The following is a 15798-nucleotide window of genomic DNA, read 5'->3' as shown; positions in this document are numbered from 1 at the left end:
GGCCTCTTTGCAGTTGAGATAAGAGGAAGGCATCTGTCTCCTGCTCGTCCCTGGGAATGGAATGTCTCGGTGTAAAACCCGACTGTACATTCTATTTACTGAGATAGGAGAAAACCGCCCTGTGGCTGGAGGTGAGACATGCTGGCGGCAATACTGCTCTTTAGTGCACCGAGAGGTTTGTGTAAAGTCAAACATAAACCTGGCCTACGTGCACATCCAGGCACAGCACCTTTCCTTAAACTTATTTATGACACAGATTCCTTTGCTCACGTTTTCCTGCTGACCCTCTGCCCACCATTACCCTATAGTCCTGCCACATCCCCCTTGCCGAGATAGTAGAGATAGTGATCAATAAATACTGAGGAACTCAGAGACCAGCACCGGTGCAGGTCCTCACTTGCTGAGCGCCGGTCCCCTGGGCCCACTTTTCTTCCTCTATACTTTGTCTTTGTGTCTTATTTCCTTTTCTCAGTCTCTTGTCTCCATCTTGCAAGAAATACCGACAGGTATGGAGGGGCAGGCCCCCTTCATTACTTGGGAGACTGAGGCAGGAGAATCGCTTGAATCCGGGAGGTGGAGGTTGCAGTGAGCCAAAACCTTGCCACTGGACTCCAGCCTGGGTGATAGAGTGAGACTCCGTCTCAAAAATAATAATAATAATGATGATGCAGTGAAAAACCGTACACTTTAAGCACTTTATGATTTCACAATCTTCATACATTTGTCCACCTAAGCTTGTTCCTGATCCACACATGCTTTTACCACTGCCAGTTTTAACACATATTAGTAGATTCCTGTTTTGCTGCATTAGTTTTCTCAACTTTGGTAATATTCTTGCTGCAGTTGTTGGTTTTCTTTTTGGAGACAGGGTCTCACTGTCACTCAGGTTGGAGTACACTGGTGCGATAACGGCTCACCACAACCTAAACCTGCCGGGCTCAGGTGATCCTCCCACCTCAGCCTCCCAAGTAGCTGGGACTACAGGCGTGGGCCACCATGCCCGGCTAATGGAGGGGGAAGGGCTGAGCTTGTCTGAAGACCCTCCCGTGGGTGTGGCAGAGCCTGTGGTCTGAGGCAGGGGTCCAGCTGCAGAGCAGCCCACAGCTTCGCAGTGGCCCAGGGAACCAGGGCAGGCAGGCCGTGAGGCCCAGTGCCTTCTGGGCCAGGCCTTGATGCTGAGGCCATGGAATAGGTGCGGCTCTGAGAAGGGGCCAGAGTGACCATGGGCTGAAGGCTATGTCCACAGACCCAATGTGGCAGAAGCTGTACCAGGCAGTGATGTCAGCCAGGCTCCCCAGCAGGTCTAGGGATGTCAGGGGCAGCTCTGTCCCAGGTGGCAGACACTGGTTTCCCCTCCTGCTCTCACAACCGTCCTGTGACCGGGTGTTGTCTGAGCTGCGGTGAGGCCTCCCTAGTGACATCCAGGAGCAGGGAGCATGTGGGTGGGGGTGTGTGTGCACCTGCCCTGGCTGCCTGGCCCTGTGGTCAAGGATGGGGGAAGGCAGCTCCGCCTGCAGCTCCACCCCATTTGTAAAGCACTGTGTGCCTTCTGCTGGGGCATGTGCTGAGGGTGCCTCGCAGGCACTCCCCTCGGGAAGTTCACAGGCTTGTGTAGAAGCTGGTGGGAATGTGCTAAGAAGAGGTGTCAGGAGCCAGATATTGGGCAGGTCCCAGGTCTCTGAGCCTCAGTTTCTTCATCTGTAGGAGGGTGGTAACCCTGCCCTGCTCAGCTTACCAGGTACAGCTGTGAGTTTTCAGTGCGGAGGAAAAGCAGAGCCCTTCCCCTCAGATGGCCATATTGCCTTGTTGCTGTACCCAACTTTCCAGTGCTCCCCCAGGGGGTGTCCTGGCCTCCTCCTTTGTAGCTCTCAGATGTCACATGTGGGTCCTGCCCTACCATCCCGTCTCCCTGTCTTGAAACGAGGCCTGCTGAGCTTGAAGCCACCCCACTCCCTGCTCTCAAGCCATCTGCTCCTGGGTTAGCTTGTGGCTGGCCTGGCCTGATTCTACATAGATGTGGGTGTTTCTCCAGTGCTGGGGCAGCGGTTGTCCATTCTGGGGCCTGGGTCAGCTCTCAGCTGTGGCTGTTGTGCCCGTGCTTCCCCAGGTCCTTGTGGTCACTCCAACTCTGCCCTCAGATATCCTAAGAGCAGGCTGACTGTCTTCCCATTCCTACCTTTCCAGTAACTGTTGCACAAAGGGACAGACACTGCTGCAGAGAACTTGCCACGGTGTTTCATGCTGCGGCTGGTGGTTCCAGGCTGCACGCTCCATTCTAGAAAGGGTGAGGATTACTGATCATCAGTCTTAACAGGGGACTGTCCTATGGGTACCTGGATACGCTACCGGGAGTGGGGCAGAGTGGGGTTAGAGTAGTGCCTGATGCCCGTTGAGGGTGTGCGGGTTCCTTAAGAGTGTGCACCCTGTAGCCAGCACGTATGTCTGTTTTTTTTCTTCTCCTTATCACTAATCAGCCTTTGGTAACCAGGCTGGCCCTGCTTCCTGCCTACGGGCTATGGGTGTACCGTCTGGAGCTGCAAATGGGGTGATGGGGCATCAGTAGCCTTCCCACACCCAAGAACTTCCTGACACTCAGCGCCTCATCTCCAGCCAACCTCTGGCTCCCCCAGAGATCCTGGGACCCAGGCCTCACACTCCAGCAGGGGGGGGTCTTCGTCCTTCTGGTGGTGCTCTCCTTTGGAGGTACCTTCGAACAGGGGTGCAACAGATAGAATTCAGGAAGTGCCATCTGTTGCATGGATACTCTGCTGCCACCCTTGTCCACCTTCCTGGGGCAGATCCTGGGATGGGTCTTTATGTAAGAACACAAAAGGGAGAGAGAATGCATAGAGGCCAGGCACCGTGGCTCATGCCTGTAATCCCAGCACTTTGGAAGGCCGAGGTGGGTGGATCACTTGAGGTCAGGAGTTCGAGACCAGCCTGGCCAACACGGTGAAACTGCCTCTACTAAAAATACAAAAAAATTAGCTGGGTGTGGCAGCGGGCACCTGTAATCCCAGCTACTTGGGAGGCTGAGGCAGGAGAATCGCTCGAACCCAGGAGTTGGAGGTTGCAGTGAGCCGAGATCACGCCACTGCACTCCAGCCTGAGCGACAGAGGGAGACTCCGTCTCAAAAATAAATAAATAAATAAATTAATAAATAAATGCATAGAGGTTGTCTATGTGACCCTGGGCAAGTGATTTCTCCTCCTTCCCTTCTTGGGACTCAGCTCCTTGCCTGTGAACAGGGACAGTGCTTCTCCCTTACAGAGCTGTTGTGAGAATTAAAGTAGAAAATGCACCTGTGGTGGTTGTTGGTAGTGAGTGGTTCCCCCAATCCCGACACCCCTGCAGGATGGGGCCTGGGCCCAGGGACAGGGGATGGGCTGGCAGAGGATGCCTGTCCCAGAGAGGAGCCTTCTTGGCAGACGTGGAGATCTAGCTGAGTCAGAGTCCAGGATCTAAGTTTGAGGGTGCATCTTACAGCCTGCAATCATGAGTCTTTGGCAGGGTCAAGCAGCCTTTCTGAGCTTCAGTTCCTTATCAGTAAACCCTGGGCAGTGGTGCCCAGCATCTTTCACAGGACACCGCGTGAGTGCAGATGGAGATCCACTGAGCACTCTGCTAGGGAGCAATTCATGGGGAGCACCCCTCCAGAGAGGGATGGCTCGCACAGGCCCTCAGCCCAGCCCCTTGCAGGCTGGACCTTGGAGAGTGAGGCCCTGAGACGAGACATGGGCACCTGGCTTCTGGCCTGCACCTGCGTCTGCACCTGTGTCTGCTCGGGAGTCTCTGTCTCAGGGGATGGACGAGGTGAGGGCTGGGCACTAGTGTCTGTATGAGGTGGGTGGAGAACTAGGGTATGTTTGGGGGACTGGGTTGTCCAATGTCGATCCCCTAGGGAAAGTTTTGGCCCAAATTGTGCTGGGGCATGTCCTCTAGGGGTCAGCCTGGACCTCTGTCTCTAGTCTCCCTTCCTTTACCTCCCTACCTCCGGTCCCTGGACCCACCCTTCCTTCACCCTCTTGACACCTCTCTGGTTCTGACTTGCCCATGTACCATGGGTCAGAGCCCATCACTTCCCAGGCCTCCCAGTGCTTCCCTGGACAGATTCTGGGGTCATTCACTGGTGACTGCCCTGCTAGGATGTCAGCTGCCGGATCCCCCCCAATCCCCCAACTCAGCTCTCTTCTGAAGCACTCACTGTGGGCTCCCAGCCGTCACTGTCTCCAGGGCCAAGGGCTGGAACCTCCACCTGCCTCACCAACAACATTCTCAGGATTGATTGCCACTGGTCTGCCCCAGAGCTGGGTCAGGGCTCCAGCCCCGGGCTCCCCTTCATCAGGTGAGGGTGGAGGGCCATGCCCACCTGGATAGGGATGAGGGTGAGGATTGCAGCAGCTGCACCAGGATAGTGTAGCAGCCCCGTGGTGCTGACACATGCCCTTTTCAGCAACCAGGCTGCTGGTGGCACACAGAAGTGCATCTGGCAGGGCAGTGAGTGCACTGTAGTGTTGCCGCCCAAGGCAGCACTCCTGCCATCTGACAATTTCATCATCACTTTCTACCACTGCATGTCCGGGAGGGATCAGGTCAGCCTGGTGGACCTGTAGTACCTGCCCTGGAGACACGGTGAACAGCAGCTATAGGCCTGGGGCAGGGCCCCTTGGCAAGAACATCCTGGCTGCCTGGGGGCTGGGAGAAAGGCCCTGCAGCCTGTGACCCCTGTGGCCCAGTAAGTGTTCTCAGTCCCTGCCAAGTAAGATCCAGGGCTGGGGGCAGGCTTGGCCCCTGGGAAGGGAGGGTCCACGTGGTTACTGCAGGGGCCAAAGGAAGTCACTGCTGTCCTGTCCCATCTGGGGCTTTTCTGGACCAGTCTCCCAGTGAGGTGTCTGGTCTGAGAGGGTCTTGACCATGCCCCTTGGGAATCTTTCAGATCCCCAGTCTTGGGTGTGCTGACTGACACACCCAGACCCATGGGGCTTCAGCCTTACATGGATTCTCTCTGTTCCTGTGAAGCTGGACCCACTCTGACTTGCAGAGCACGTCAGCTCGCCACTGCATCCTGACCTGGAGCCTCAGTCCTGCCTTGGAGTCAATGACCACACTTCTCAGCTATGAGCTGGACTTCAAGAGGCAGGAAGAGGCCTGGGAGGTAACACTTTGGCTGGCTTTTCTCCTGGGGGCCTCACTCCTGGGAGCAGCAGTCCAGGGCAGACTCCCCACTCTAAATAAGGCGAGGTCAACTTGGAGTGATGAGGAGGGGAGGAACTGGAGCCAGGTGTGTGTGTGCACACATGCTAACATTTACATGTGTGTGCTTCATGTGTGTGTATGTGAGTAGGGTGAGTGTGCCTGTGTCTCTGTGTGTGCACATAAGTGTGGTAAGTGTGCATGTGTTTATGTGTGCACTTACAAGTGTGCCCATGTTTGTGTTTGTAAGTGTACATATGAGTGTGTCTGCGCCTTGTGTTTGTATGTGTGAGTGTGCACATGGGCATGCCTCTGTGTACGTGTATGTGAGTGTGGTGAGTGTGCTTCTGTGCACACACTCGTGTATATGAGTGTGCATGCAGGTGTGATGAGTGTGAAAGTGTGCCTGTAGACATGTTTGCCTGTGTGTGCATATGTGTATTTGTGGGCAAACGCAGCTGTATCTGTGTGTGAGTGTGCCTTCTCTGTGTGTGTGTGCACGTGAACATGGCGAGTGTGCCTGTGTGAGCACAGGTGCGTTCATGTGTGTGTTATGTGAGCGTGTGCGTGTGTGTATTCTCAAGGGCTGAGGGACCCAGCCCCACCTTCAGCACCTGCCAACTGTCGCCACCCCCACAGCGGGCCCAGCACAGGGATCACATTGTCGGGGTGACCTGGCTCATACTTGAAGCCTTTGAGCTGGACCCTGGCTTTATCCTTGAGGCCAGGCTGCGTGTCCAGACGGCCATGCTGGGGGATGACGGGGCACAGGAGGAGCGAGGGGAGCCAGCCCGTGTGCTTCCAGGCTCCCCAGAGACAAGGTGGGCGCTGCTATGGCTGCCGCACTTCCAGAGTCTGGGCTGGGTGTCCCCCACTCCCTTTCAGCCTCCTGGAAGCCCCTCCCTGAGTCAGCCATGTCCCAGTTGACCCCCTTCCTCTGAAGCTTTGAGGTCTGCAGGGAGGAAACAAACACCTGCCAACTCTGGGGCTTCCTGGGAACCTGTAGTTAGTGGCTGCTGTTAGGAGTGAGGGTGGCAGGGCTGCACACCAGGGCTGGGCTCCTGCCTGGAGGCTGGACATGACCTCAGTGTCCTTAATGGGGGCTGGACTGACCCTTGCGCACTGCAGTGCTGAGATGGCCCAGGGACCTTATGACCCACTGTGTGGCAGATGGGAAGAGTGAGGCCCAGGAGTGTGGTTCACACAAGGTCCTTCAGCAGGTGACACAAACCTCCAAGGCCCATCACAAGGTCCTTCAGCAGATGACACAAACCTCCAAGGCTCATCACAAACCTTCCACTTTGGCCCAGGGCACTAAAGGGCGCACTTTTGCCAGGTAGGTTTGTGGGGAGCCTCCTGGCACTGACGCTGCTCACAGCCCTGGGCCCTTCCTGCCCACGGACCCTCTGATCCCACCCTGGGGGTGGCCAGGCAACACCTTTGTTGCTGTGTCCATCTTTCTCCTGCTGACTGGCCCGACCTACCTCCTGTTCAAGCTGTCGCCCAGGTAGGTGGCTGATGTGTGCGTGTGTGTACATGTGTGAGCGGGCAAGAGTGTGCATGTTAGTGTATGTGTGCAGATGTGTGACTGTGTGCATGTGTGAGTGTGTGGTGGGTGGGCCGTCAAGGGCCGCCCTTGTCTGGTTCCTCCCCTCCCCTCTCCACTGCCTGGTCCTGGACGGGGTGGGCTTTTCGAGTCTCCACCCTGGTCCAGAAGAGGGTTCTCAACTTGCCAGGGGAGAGCAGGGAAGGGGGGTCTGAGGCAGAGGCTGAAGATAAGGGCAGCTTGGTCCCGACCAGACCCAGAGTCACCGAGATCAAGAGCCGGAGGTCCTAGTCTCCTGCCTCTGGAGGAGCTTGGTTTGTTCATTTGTTCACACGTTATATGAAAGGTCAGTTGGGGCATCTGGTGTACACAGGACCCTCTTCTCACCCTGGCCGATGCCTTAGAGAACAAGATGGACAAGGACCCTCCTTAAATAAACCATCACGCCTCATGCACCACATGTCAGGTTACAAGAGGGAGTGCAGGGGCCATGTCAGGCCGAGGATGTGAGGAAGAGGGTGTGGGGAGAGGGGTGTTGGGTGGGGCTAAGCGGGAGGGTGCTTGGCTTCTCCTTGGAGCAAAGGAAAGTGTGAAACTGTGTAATACGACCTAGTTTATGTTTTGAGGAATGGATTGCTGGGAAAAGGGGACATGGGGGACCTGCTGGGGGCCAGTGGGGGCCAGTGGGGTGCCCACAGGGAGATGATTTGGCGTGAGCCAGTGAAAGAAGTGGAGATAGAGCAAGGTGGAGGGAATTGCAGGGTCTTAGGGGGAGAAATAGAGGGGACGTGTGGCTGGATGAGATATGAGTGGTGACCCCTGAGGTGGGGAAATGGGGCACAGCCTTGCGGGGAGGTTGGCGAGGTCTATTTGCACCTGTTGGGTTGGAGCCCCAGGTGACATCCTTGTGGGAGGGTCACTGGATCCTTGGCAGCAAGTCAGGTGCTCAGGGAGACACTGGGTGGGGTGGGAGCCACAGACGTGCTGATGGCAAAGATAGAGTTCCTGGAGGTGTGGCTCCCTCTGCGGGCTGAGGATCTAGCTGACAACTCCCTGTTCTGAACCCACCATCGTAGCTCATGCTGTAAAGGACGCGTGCCTCAGTATAAGTCAGTTCTATGCGGCTGTTAGGCAAGGAGGCCCAGTTAGGTCCTGCCCTGAGAGTGGGTTGGGATGTGATGAGATGGGAGAGAGGCAGTGGCAGGGATGAGGTGGGCGGACCTCCTGCTGATGGAAGGAAGCTCAGCCTCTGCAGTGACCTCAGGCCACCTGGGTCCCCATAGGCCTCTGACTGGCCTCTCCTGGCCTCAGGGTGAAGAGAACCTTCTACTAGAATGTGCCCTCTCTAGCGGTGTTCTCCTAGCCCCTCTACGGTGTGCACAATGGGAACTTCCAGGTGTGTGCAGAGACCACGGCAGGGCGTCGGGGGCAGGTGTTGCCCAGAGCTCTGGCCTGCCAGAGATGTTGGCTTTCATGAGGGTTGGCGGCCAGTATGGGAAACTTGTCAGTGCTTGGAGCCGTTTCTGTATATTCAGTGTATTTCAATTTATACGCTGTGTCTCCAGTGGGGAAAAACTAGCTTTATTCTCCGTTACTGATTTCTTTTTGTTCTCATGTCTCCAGTTCCACTGTTGACGGAAAAACGTAAATTTCTCATGACTTATCTCTGTCCCCTCTGGTTTGCGGCTGTCTGCACCCACCATGTGCCTCACCTCCTCCTTCTGCAAAGGTGTCTGCCCTGTGGCCATGGGGAAGGGTCTGTGGTGTGTGTGCTGCCCTTGGGGCTCTCACTGCCTCTGGGCTCCTGCTCTGCCTGGTCCCCTGGTCCCCTGGTCCCCACAGATCGCATGCTGGCACCACAGCTGTGGAGTGGGCTCTGCAATTCCCCGTCTGTGGCCCTGTTGGGCCCCCACAGCCCAGGAACCAGTGAGCAACTTGGGGGTTGCATCAGCCCCTCCCCTCCCTGCAGGGCTGGCGGTTCATGCCCCCTGGGTGGGAGGAGGGGGAGAGGGAGGGCTCCATTGAATGGTCTCTGGTTTTTCCCCTCAGACTCCTCACTTTGGGCAAAGGACAAGAAGCAGTGAGGGCCCCTCCCTGGGGTCTGGGCCAAGCTGACCCCTCTTCTCCAGGATCTTCCCTCCCTGTGCCCTAGGGCATCCCTGGGCCCTGTGCAGCAAGGATGTCCCTTCCACACCGCGGCTCCAACTTACTATGCAGAAAAATCCTTTTTTCTCTCAATGAGGAGCCTAGTTTTCAAGATTTTTGTCCAAATGTTCAATTTGAACCATAAACCAGGCACTTGGCTCTTCACAGAGTCTCCCCCTTTCCCCAAGGTGGTAGGTGTGACTGTCACGAGCCTGGGCAGCCGAGTACAAGGCTGAGCAGGGCACAGATCATGACTGTCCCCTGGACTGTCATCCTGTTGCAGGCACCAGCCCTTCCCTAGAGAATCAGGGCACCTGCCAGGGGTTATTTAGACCTGCGGGTGGGGATCTGGTGCCGTAGGTTTGTCTCCAGGGAGCAGTGCAGTGACGGAGGGTGTGTTGTGTGTTTAGGGAGCAGTGCAGTGATGGAGGGTGTGTTGTGTGTTGTGCATGGGATGGAGGTTCCTGGTCTCACCAAGGGAACAGCTTCCTTTTGGAGGCAGGGGCCGCCTGTGGCCCCACAGAAGGATCCAGGTCTGCTCGCCTTAGCCCAGTGCTTTGAAAGTCACCAGTCCTGACAGCGACTTGTGTGTGTGTATGTGTTTGTGTGTGTGTCTGTGTGTATGTCTGTGTGTGTCTGTGTGTGTTTATGTGTGTGTGTTTGTGTGTGTCTGTGTGTTTGTGTGTGTGTATGTCTGTGTGTCTGTGTTTATGTGTGTGTCTGTGTGTTTGTGTTTGTGTGTATGTCTGTGTGTCTGTGTGTGTCTGTGTGTGTTTGTGTGTGTATGTGTGTGTCTGTGTATCTGTGTGTGTGTCTGTGTGTGTTTGTGTGTGTGTGTCTGTGTGTGTTTGTGTATGTCTGTGTGTGTGTTTATGTGTGTGTCTGTGTGTGTTTGTGTCTGTGTGTGTTCGTGTGTGTGTCTGTGTGTGTTTGTGTATGTCTGTGTGTGTGTTTATGTGTGTGTCTGTGTGTGTATGTGTCTGTGTGTGTGTGTGTCTCTGTGTGTGTGTGTGTGTGTGTGTGTGTGTGTGTGTGTGTGTTGGGAATGCCCAGTCTCTGCAGCTGCTGAAAGGCCCTGAGGCACATGCTGTCAGGAGTTGGCTCTGTCCTGGGCAGATATCACCATCTGTACCTTGGTTCAGGCTGCCGTGAGCACCAGGTCCTGTGCTGGGGGAGTGCTGAGGAGCCTGAAGGGACTCAGGGTCCCGTGATGAGGCTGGGCTGGCACATGGAGGAAAGACAGAATGTCCAAGACACAGGCGCTGCTTGGCCTCTGGGTGTGGACCTCAGGAGGGCTTCCTGGAGGAGGAGGGAGGCTGGGCTTGCCAGAAAGGAGGCAGCTGCTCCCAGGATGAGTTCTGAACATGCTACCTGAGCCCTTCCCTCCTCCTGCACTCTGTTCCAGACTCGGATGGGGGCCCACAGGGCTGGTGTGCTGCTGAGCCAGGACTGTGCTGGCACCCGATGAGGAGCCTTGGAGCCCTGCGTCCAGGAGGCCACTGCACTGTTCACCTGTGGCCCAGCGGGTCCTTAGAAATCTGTGGGCCTGGAGGAGGAGCAGGAAGGCACTGGGACCTGAGCTCAGAGCATGTGCTGCCAGCAGGGTGTACGGAGTGGAGGGCACAGCCCCTTGCCTATCTGCCACAGGAGGACTTGGCCCCCACGTCCACCAGGGCATGTTACTCCCTTCCGTCCTTAGCAAGGCTTGGTCCTGGATGTCCTGGGTCCCTGACTTGCCAGATGAATCATGTCCATTTTGGGAAAGTGGACTTAAGTCTCCGGAGCCCTTGTCTGGGACTGAACCTCCTGAGAATGGGCCCCTAGCAGTGGTTGGAGGTCCTGTCTGGATGGAGGCTCAGGGGCAGCTTCAGGGAGAAAGGATCCCTCCGCTCAGTGCCTGTGGGGAGCAGCCTCTACCCTCAGCATCCTGCCCACAGGTTCTTCCTTCCGCTGTCCCTTTTCTTTATCCCTGGCCTCTCTGAGAAGAGGGGTGTGGTCTCAGCTGTTCCACCATCATCCCCTTAAAGGGCCAGCCTGGGCCCAGTGTACACAGGTAAGGCACCATGACCACCTGGTGTGACCTCTCTGTGCCTTCCTGAGGCACCTTTCTAGAGATTAAAAGGGGCTTCATGGCTGTTCCAAAGTGCTGATGGCTGGGAAGAGGGGCCAGAGGAGGAGTGAGGGGTGAGGTTTGGCCAGCCCTAGGCTTTCTGGGCTCTAGGGACAGCCCGGTGGATGCTCAATGACAGTTTCGGGGACAGCAGGGTGGAGGCTCAGGGGCAACTCCAGGGACAGCAGGGTGGAGCCTCAGGGGCAGCTCCGGGGACAGCAGGGTGGAGCCTCAGGGGCAGCTCCGGGGACAGCAGGGTGGAGCCTCAGGGGCAGCTCTGGGGACAGCAGGGTGGAGGCTCAGGGGCAGCTCCGGGGACAGCAGGGTGGAGGTTCAGGGACAGCTCTGGGCTAAGGTAAGGGTGGAGGCTCAGGGGCAGCTCCGGGGACAGCAGGGTGGAGGTTCAGGGACAGCTCTGGGCTAAGGTAAGGGTGGAGGCTCAGGGGCAGCTCCGGGGACAGCAGGGTGGAGGTTCAGGGACAGCTCTGGGCTAAGGTAAGGGTGGAGGCTCAGGGGCAGCTCCGGGGACAGCAGGCTGGAGGTTCAGGGACAGCTCTGGGCTAAGGTAAGGGTGGAGACTCAGGGGCAGCTCTGGGGACAGCAGTAGTGGAGGCTCAGGGACAGCTCTGGGCTGAGGTCAGGGTGGAGGTTCAGGGGCAGCTCTGGGGACAGCAGGGTGGAGGCTCAGGGACAGCACTGGGCTGAGGTCAGGGTGGAGGCTCAGGGGCAGCTTCATGGACAGCAGGGTGGAGGTTCAGGGACAGTTCCTGGGAGGCCAGAGCCCTCATTCCTCCTTGTCCTCATCCTCCCACTTGCTCCTAGAAACTGAGAGATGAGGCTGGAGCTCCCAGTCAGTGCTGGAAATGACCATCCAGCAGTGATGGTGGCCTGTGAAGGGTCCTGCTTCTGTCCTCAGCCTCTCATGGGGTGGGTTTGAGGAAGAGCTGTGGTCTGGAGAGAGCGGCAGATGGAGCAGAACGTGCCTGCGTTTGTTTCCTAGGGCTGCCGTAACAAAGTGCCACAAAATGGGTAGCTTAGAACCACAGAGATTTGTCTCAGTTCTGAAGTCCAGAAGTTGGAAATAAAGATGTTGGCAGCATTCCTGACTACATGTTCTTAGGCTCCCATGAAACAGAAGTTGATACAAGGCCAAGCAAGTTTCCCAGACAAGGCTTTATTAAGTCTTATGCCCCTAAAGGTTGAGCAGAAGAGAGACGTATTAAGTCTTATGCCCTAAAGGTTGGCCAGGAGGAAGGATTCTTGGCTGGCTCACCAAGGGGAGTGCATTGTGGTGTCTTAAGGAGGGTGACATGCATACTTTATGAGTTAGGTGAGTGTCGTTACACCTACAGGGTGGAGTGAAGGGTGCTCAGATGCAGTAAAGAATCGTGCTAACACATACGTTGCATGATCAGAAAATAGCAGATAAGCCTATACCTGGGTGGGGACTTTAGTATTATAATGAGGCCAGGGGTAAGGATCAGTCATTCTCCTGGCCTCGTGCACAAGTGGGTGATAGAGTCAACTCCCTTGAGTAAGACTTACGGCCAGATGCTGCTTATCTTAGTTTATTTCATACAGTTGGCAAGGTCTGGCCAGCGAGTATAGCACCTGGAGGGTGGTGCGGCAAGGTCTGGTGGTCAGCGGGCATGTATGGAACAACACGTTAGTGGGGGTGGGCCGAGTCCTATTTCTACTCTGTCTCAGCAGGGCCATGCTCCCTCTGAAGGCACTAGGGAAGTATCCGTTTTGGGCCTGTCTTCAGCTTCTGTTAGTTTCTTGGCTTGTGACAGCAAAACTCCATTTTTTTTTTTTTTTAAGATGGTGTCTTGGTCTGTCGCCCAGGCTGAAGTGCAGTGGCATGATCTCAACTTTCTGCAACCTCTGCCTCCCCGGTTCAAGTGATTCTCCTGCCTCCACTTCCCAAGTAGCTGGGATTACAGGTGTGAGCCACCACTCCCAGCTAATTTTTGTATTTTTAGTAGATACAGGATTTTGCCATGTTGGCCAGGCTGGTCTCAAATTCCTGGCCTCAAGTGATTGCCAGCCTCCTCTTCCCAAAGTGCTGAGATTACAGACATGAGCCACTGCACCTGGGCATGTCATCTGTATATCTTTTTTGATGAGGTGTCTATCTTTTAATTGGGTTGTTTTTCTTTTTGTTATTAGAATTTGTTTGTATATTTTGCACACAAGTCTTTTTCAAGTTTGTTTTTTAAATATTTTCTCTCAGTCTGTGGCTTGTTTTTTGATTCTCTTAACGGGATATTTCATAGAATAGTCATTTTAAATTTTAATAAAGTCCACATTATCTTTTTTTATTTTATGAACTGGCTTTTGATATTGTATCTAAAGACTCATCACCAATCCAAAGTCATATGGATTTTCTTCTATAACTTTTACAATTTTATATTTGAAAATTTAAGTCTACAGACTATCTTGAGTGATTTTTTAGGGGTGAGCTATGAAGTTTGTATCTACGTTCATTTTTTTCCCTATGGTTTCTGATTGTTCTGTCACCATCTGTGGAACAGATTTTTCTTTCCCCATTGAATATTTTTGCCCCTTTGACAAAAGCAGTTGACTATATTTATTTGGGTCTTTTGGGTTCTGTATTCTATTCCGTTCATCTATTTGTCCATTCCTTCACCAATATCACTCTCTTCATTACTTTAGCTTTGTGGTAAAGCTAACAGTAATGAGTGTACTGCTCCTAAACAAGGAGTATCTGCATTTATTTATATATTTTTTATTCTTCCCAACCATGATCCAAGGTTTTCTGAATGCATATTTAGATGTATTGTGTTACATTTATACTTAATAAATTCAATTTTGGGGGTGCTATTGTAAATGGTTTTTTTTTATTTCAAGTTCAAATTATTCCTATACATTATTGCTGATAGAAAGAAGGTCAGGCAGTGCATGGTGGCTCACGCATGTAATCCTAGCACTTTGGGAGGCTGAGTTGGGAGGATCACTTGAGCTTGGGAGTTCTAGACCAGCCTGGGCAATATAATGAGACCCACCCCCCCAATAAAAAATAAAATAAAATAATTAAAATAAATAAATAAAAGAAAATCAGGTGGGGCTGGGCACGGTGGTTCACACCTGTAATCTCAGTGCTTTGGGAGGCTGAGGTTGGACAATCTCTTGAAGCCGGGAGCTGGAAGCTGAACCCAGGAGCTGTGATTATGCCACTGTCCTCAAGCCTGGGTAACAGAACGAGACCCTGTCTCTTAAAAAGAAAAGAAAGAAAATCAATTTAGTTTTGTCTACTGGCCATCTTCTTTTTTTCTTTCTTTCTTTTTTTTTTTTTTTGAGAAGGAGTCTCGCTCTGTTGCCCAGGCTGGAGTGCAGTGGCACAATCTCAGCTCACTGCAACTTCCGCCTCCCGGGTTCAAGCGATTCTCCTGCCTCAGCCTCCAGAGTAGCTGGGATTACAGGCACGCGCCATCATGCCTGCTAATTTTTGTATTTTTAGTAGAGACGAGGGTTCACCACGTTGGCCAGGCTGGTCTCGAACGCCTGACCTCAAGTGATCCCCCCGCCTCAGCCTCTCAAAGTGCTGGGATTACAGGCGTGAACTGGCCATCTTCTTTGATTACTATCTCAATGAGTTCCCGTCAAGGCTGGGGATGGCGGGCTCCATTTCAGTCGAAATTTCCAAAATATCGGCCTGGAAAAATCCAGACGCTGATTTTGAGAGATTCTCCAGAGCTGCCGCGAGGGGGCGCCCGGCCCTGCCAAACCCGGAGGGCCGCGCGCGCGAACGGTGTCCGAACCGCACGGCGGCGTCGTGGGGCTTCCACTGTGAGGACGGAGCTTCCTCTCCTCAGCACCCACCCCGGAGGGGCCGGGGCTTCGGGACACCTGGGGCCACGTCCGCTGTGAGGACAGGGAGACGCTCCGGGACACCTGGGGCCGCCGAGGAGAAAGTGAGAAAAAGGCTTTCTGCCCCCGCTGTGAGTGCCGCGGAGCGAGCGCGGCGCGTTTCCCGTCTGGCCATTTGTACCCGGACTTCACTTTGTACGAGCGTCCCTTCATGGAGGCTTGGGCGGCTCACCCCCAGCACAGGACAAGATGCCGGTTACGGATGCGATTTTGTTTCTGGGGAGAGACCCTGGTCCCGGGAGAAGCGGAGGAACGTGGAGACGCCGTTGTGCCGTCGGGCGGTCTGGAGGTTGGGGACTGGCAGGGGCCACAGCCTGAGGCCGAGGTAACAGACGCCCCCTGATCAGTGCTCGTGTTTTTTTTTTTTTTTTGAGACAGTTTCGCTTTGGTTTCCCAGGCTGGAGTGCAATGGCGCGTTCTCGGCTCACTGCAACCTCCGCCTCCCGGGTTCAAGCGATTCTCCTGCCTCAGCCTCCAGAGTAGCTGGAATTACAGGGATCCGCCATCTCGCCCAGCTAATTTTTTCTATTTTTAGTAGAGACGGGTTTCACTATGTTTGCCAGGCTGGTCTCGAACTCCTGACCTCAGGCAATGCACCCGCCTTAGCCTCCCAAAGTGCTGGGATTACAGGCGTGAGCCATCTCGCCTGGCCAGTGCTTGGTGTTTTAAGGCTTATTTGTTAACGTAGTGGAAACAACACAGGAAAATGGAAAAGTAGCACATTATCATGCTCAGGGCACTGCACTCCATTCTGGGCGACAGAGCGAGACCCTTTTTAAGAGTAAAAAGAAAAGAAAGAAAATAAATAGAGTTTTGTCTACTGGCTATCTTTTTTTCTTTTTTCTTTTTCTTTCTTTTTTTTTTTTTTTTGAGACAGAGCCTTGCTCTGTCGCCCAGGCTGGAGTGCGGTGG

General features: G+C 54.3%; 1 pseudogene, besides 5 other annotated features; it reads left to right on the top strand.

Annotated features, from left to right (window-relative positions):
* Positions 1-295: a silencer, noted in NCBI's record as "tiled region #10972; K562 Repressive non-DNase unmatched - State 9:DNaseU". NCBI's record gives its function as "represses a minimal TATA promoter and a strong SV40 promoter by Sharpr-MPRA in K562 cells {active_cell/tissue: K562}" and the evidence as "EXISTENCE:reporter gene assay evidence [ECO:0000049][PMID:27701403]".
* Positions 1-295: an enhancer, noted in NCBI's record as "tiled region #10972; HepG2 Activating DNase matched - State 8:EnhW". NCBI's record gives its function as "activates a minimal TATA promoter and a strong SV40 promoter by Sharpr-MPRA in HepG2 cells {active_cell/tissue: HepG2}" and the evidence as "EXISTENCE:reporter gene assay evidence [ECO:0000049][PMID:27701403]".
* IL9RP4 (IL9R pseudogene 4) lies at positions 2183-11023 on the top strand (annotated as a pseudogene).
* Positions 8341-9254: an enhancer, noted in NCBI's record as "H3K4me1 hESC enhancer chr18:81490-82403 (GRCh37/hg19 assembly coordinates)". NCBI's record gives its function as "activates a minimal SCP1, AML or CMV promoter by ChIP-STARR-seq in primed H9 embryonic stem cells {active_cell/tissue: H9 hESC(primed)}" and the evidence as "EXISTENCE:reporter gene assay evidence [ECO:0000049][PMID:30033119]".
* Positions 11051-11551: an enhancer, noted in NCBI's record as "H3K4me1 hESC enhancer chr18:79193-79693 (GRCh37/hg19 assembly coordinates)". NCBI's record gives its function as "activates a minimal SCP1, AML or CMV promoter by ChIP-STARR-seq in naive H9 embryonic stem cells {active_cell/tissue: H9 hESC(naive)}" and the evidence as "EXISTENCE:reporter gene assay evidence [ECO:0000049][PMID:30033119]".
* Positions 11552-12052: an enhancer, noted in NCBI's record as "H3K4me1 hESC enhancer chr18:78692-79192 (GRCh37/hg19 assembly coordinates)". NCBI's record gives its function as "activates a minimal SCP1, AML or CMV promoter by ChIP-STARR-seq in naive H9 embryonic stem cells {active_cell/tissue: H9 hESC(naive)}" and the evidence as "EXISTENCE:reporter gene assay evidence [ECO:0000049][PMID:30033119]".

This window comes from Homo sapiens, chromosome 18, assembly GCF_000001405.40.
Source record: "Homo sapiens chromosome 18, GRCh38.p14 Primary Assembly".
Classification (NCBI taxonomy): Eukaryota; Metazoa; Chordata; class Mammalia; order Primates; family Hominidae; genus Homo; species Homo sapiens.
The sequence above is the reverse complement of the archived record's forward strand: the minus strand, read 5'-3'. Positions and strand labels throughout refer to the sequence as shown.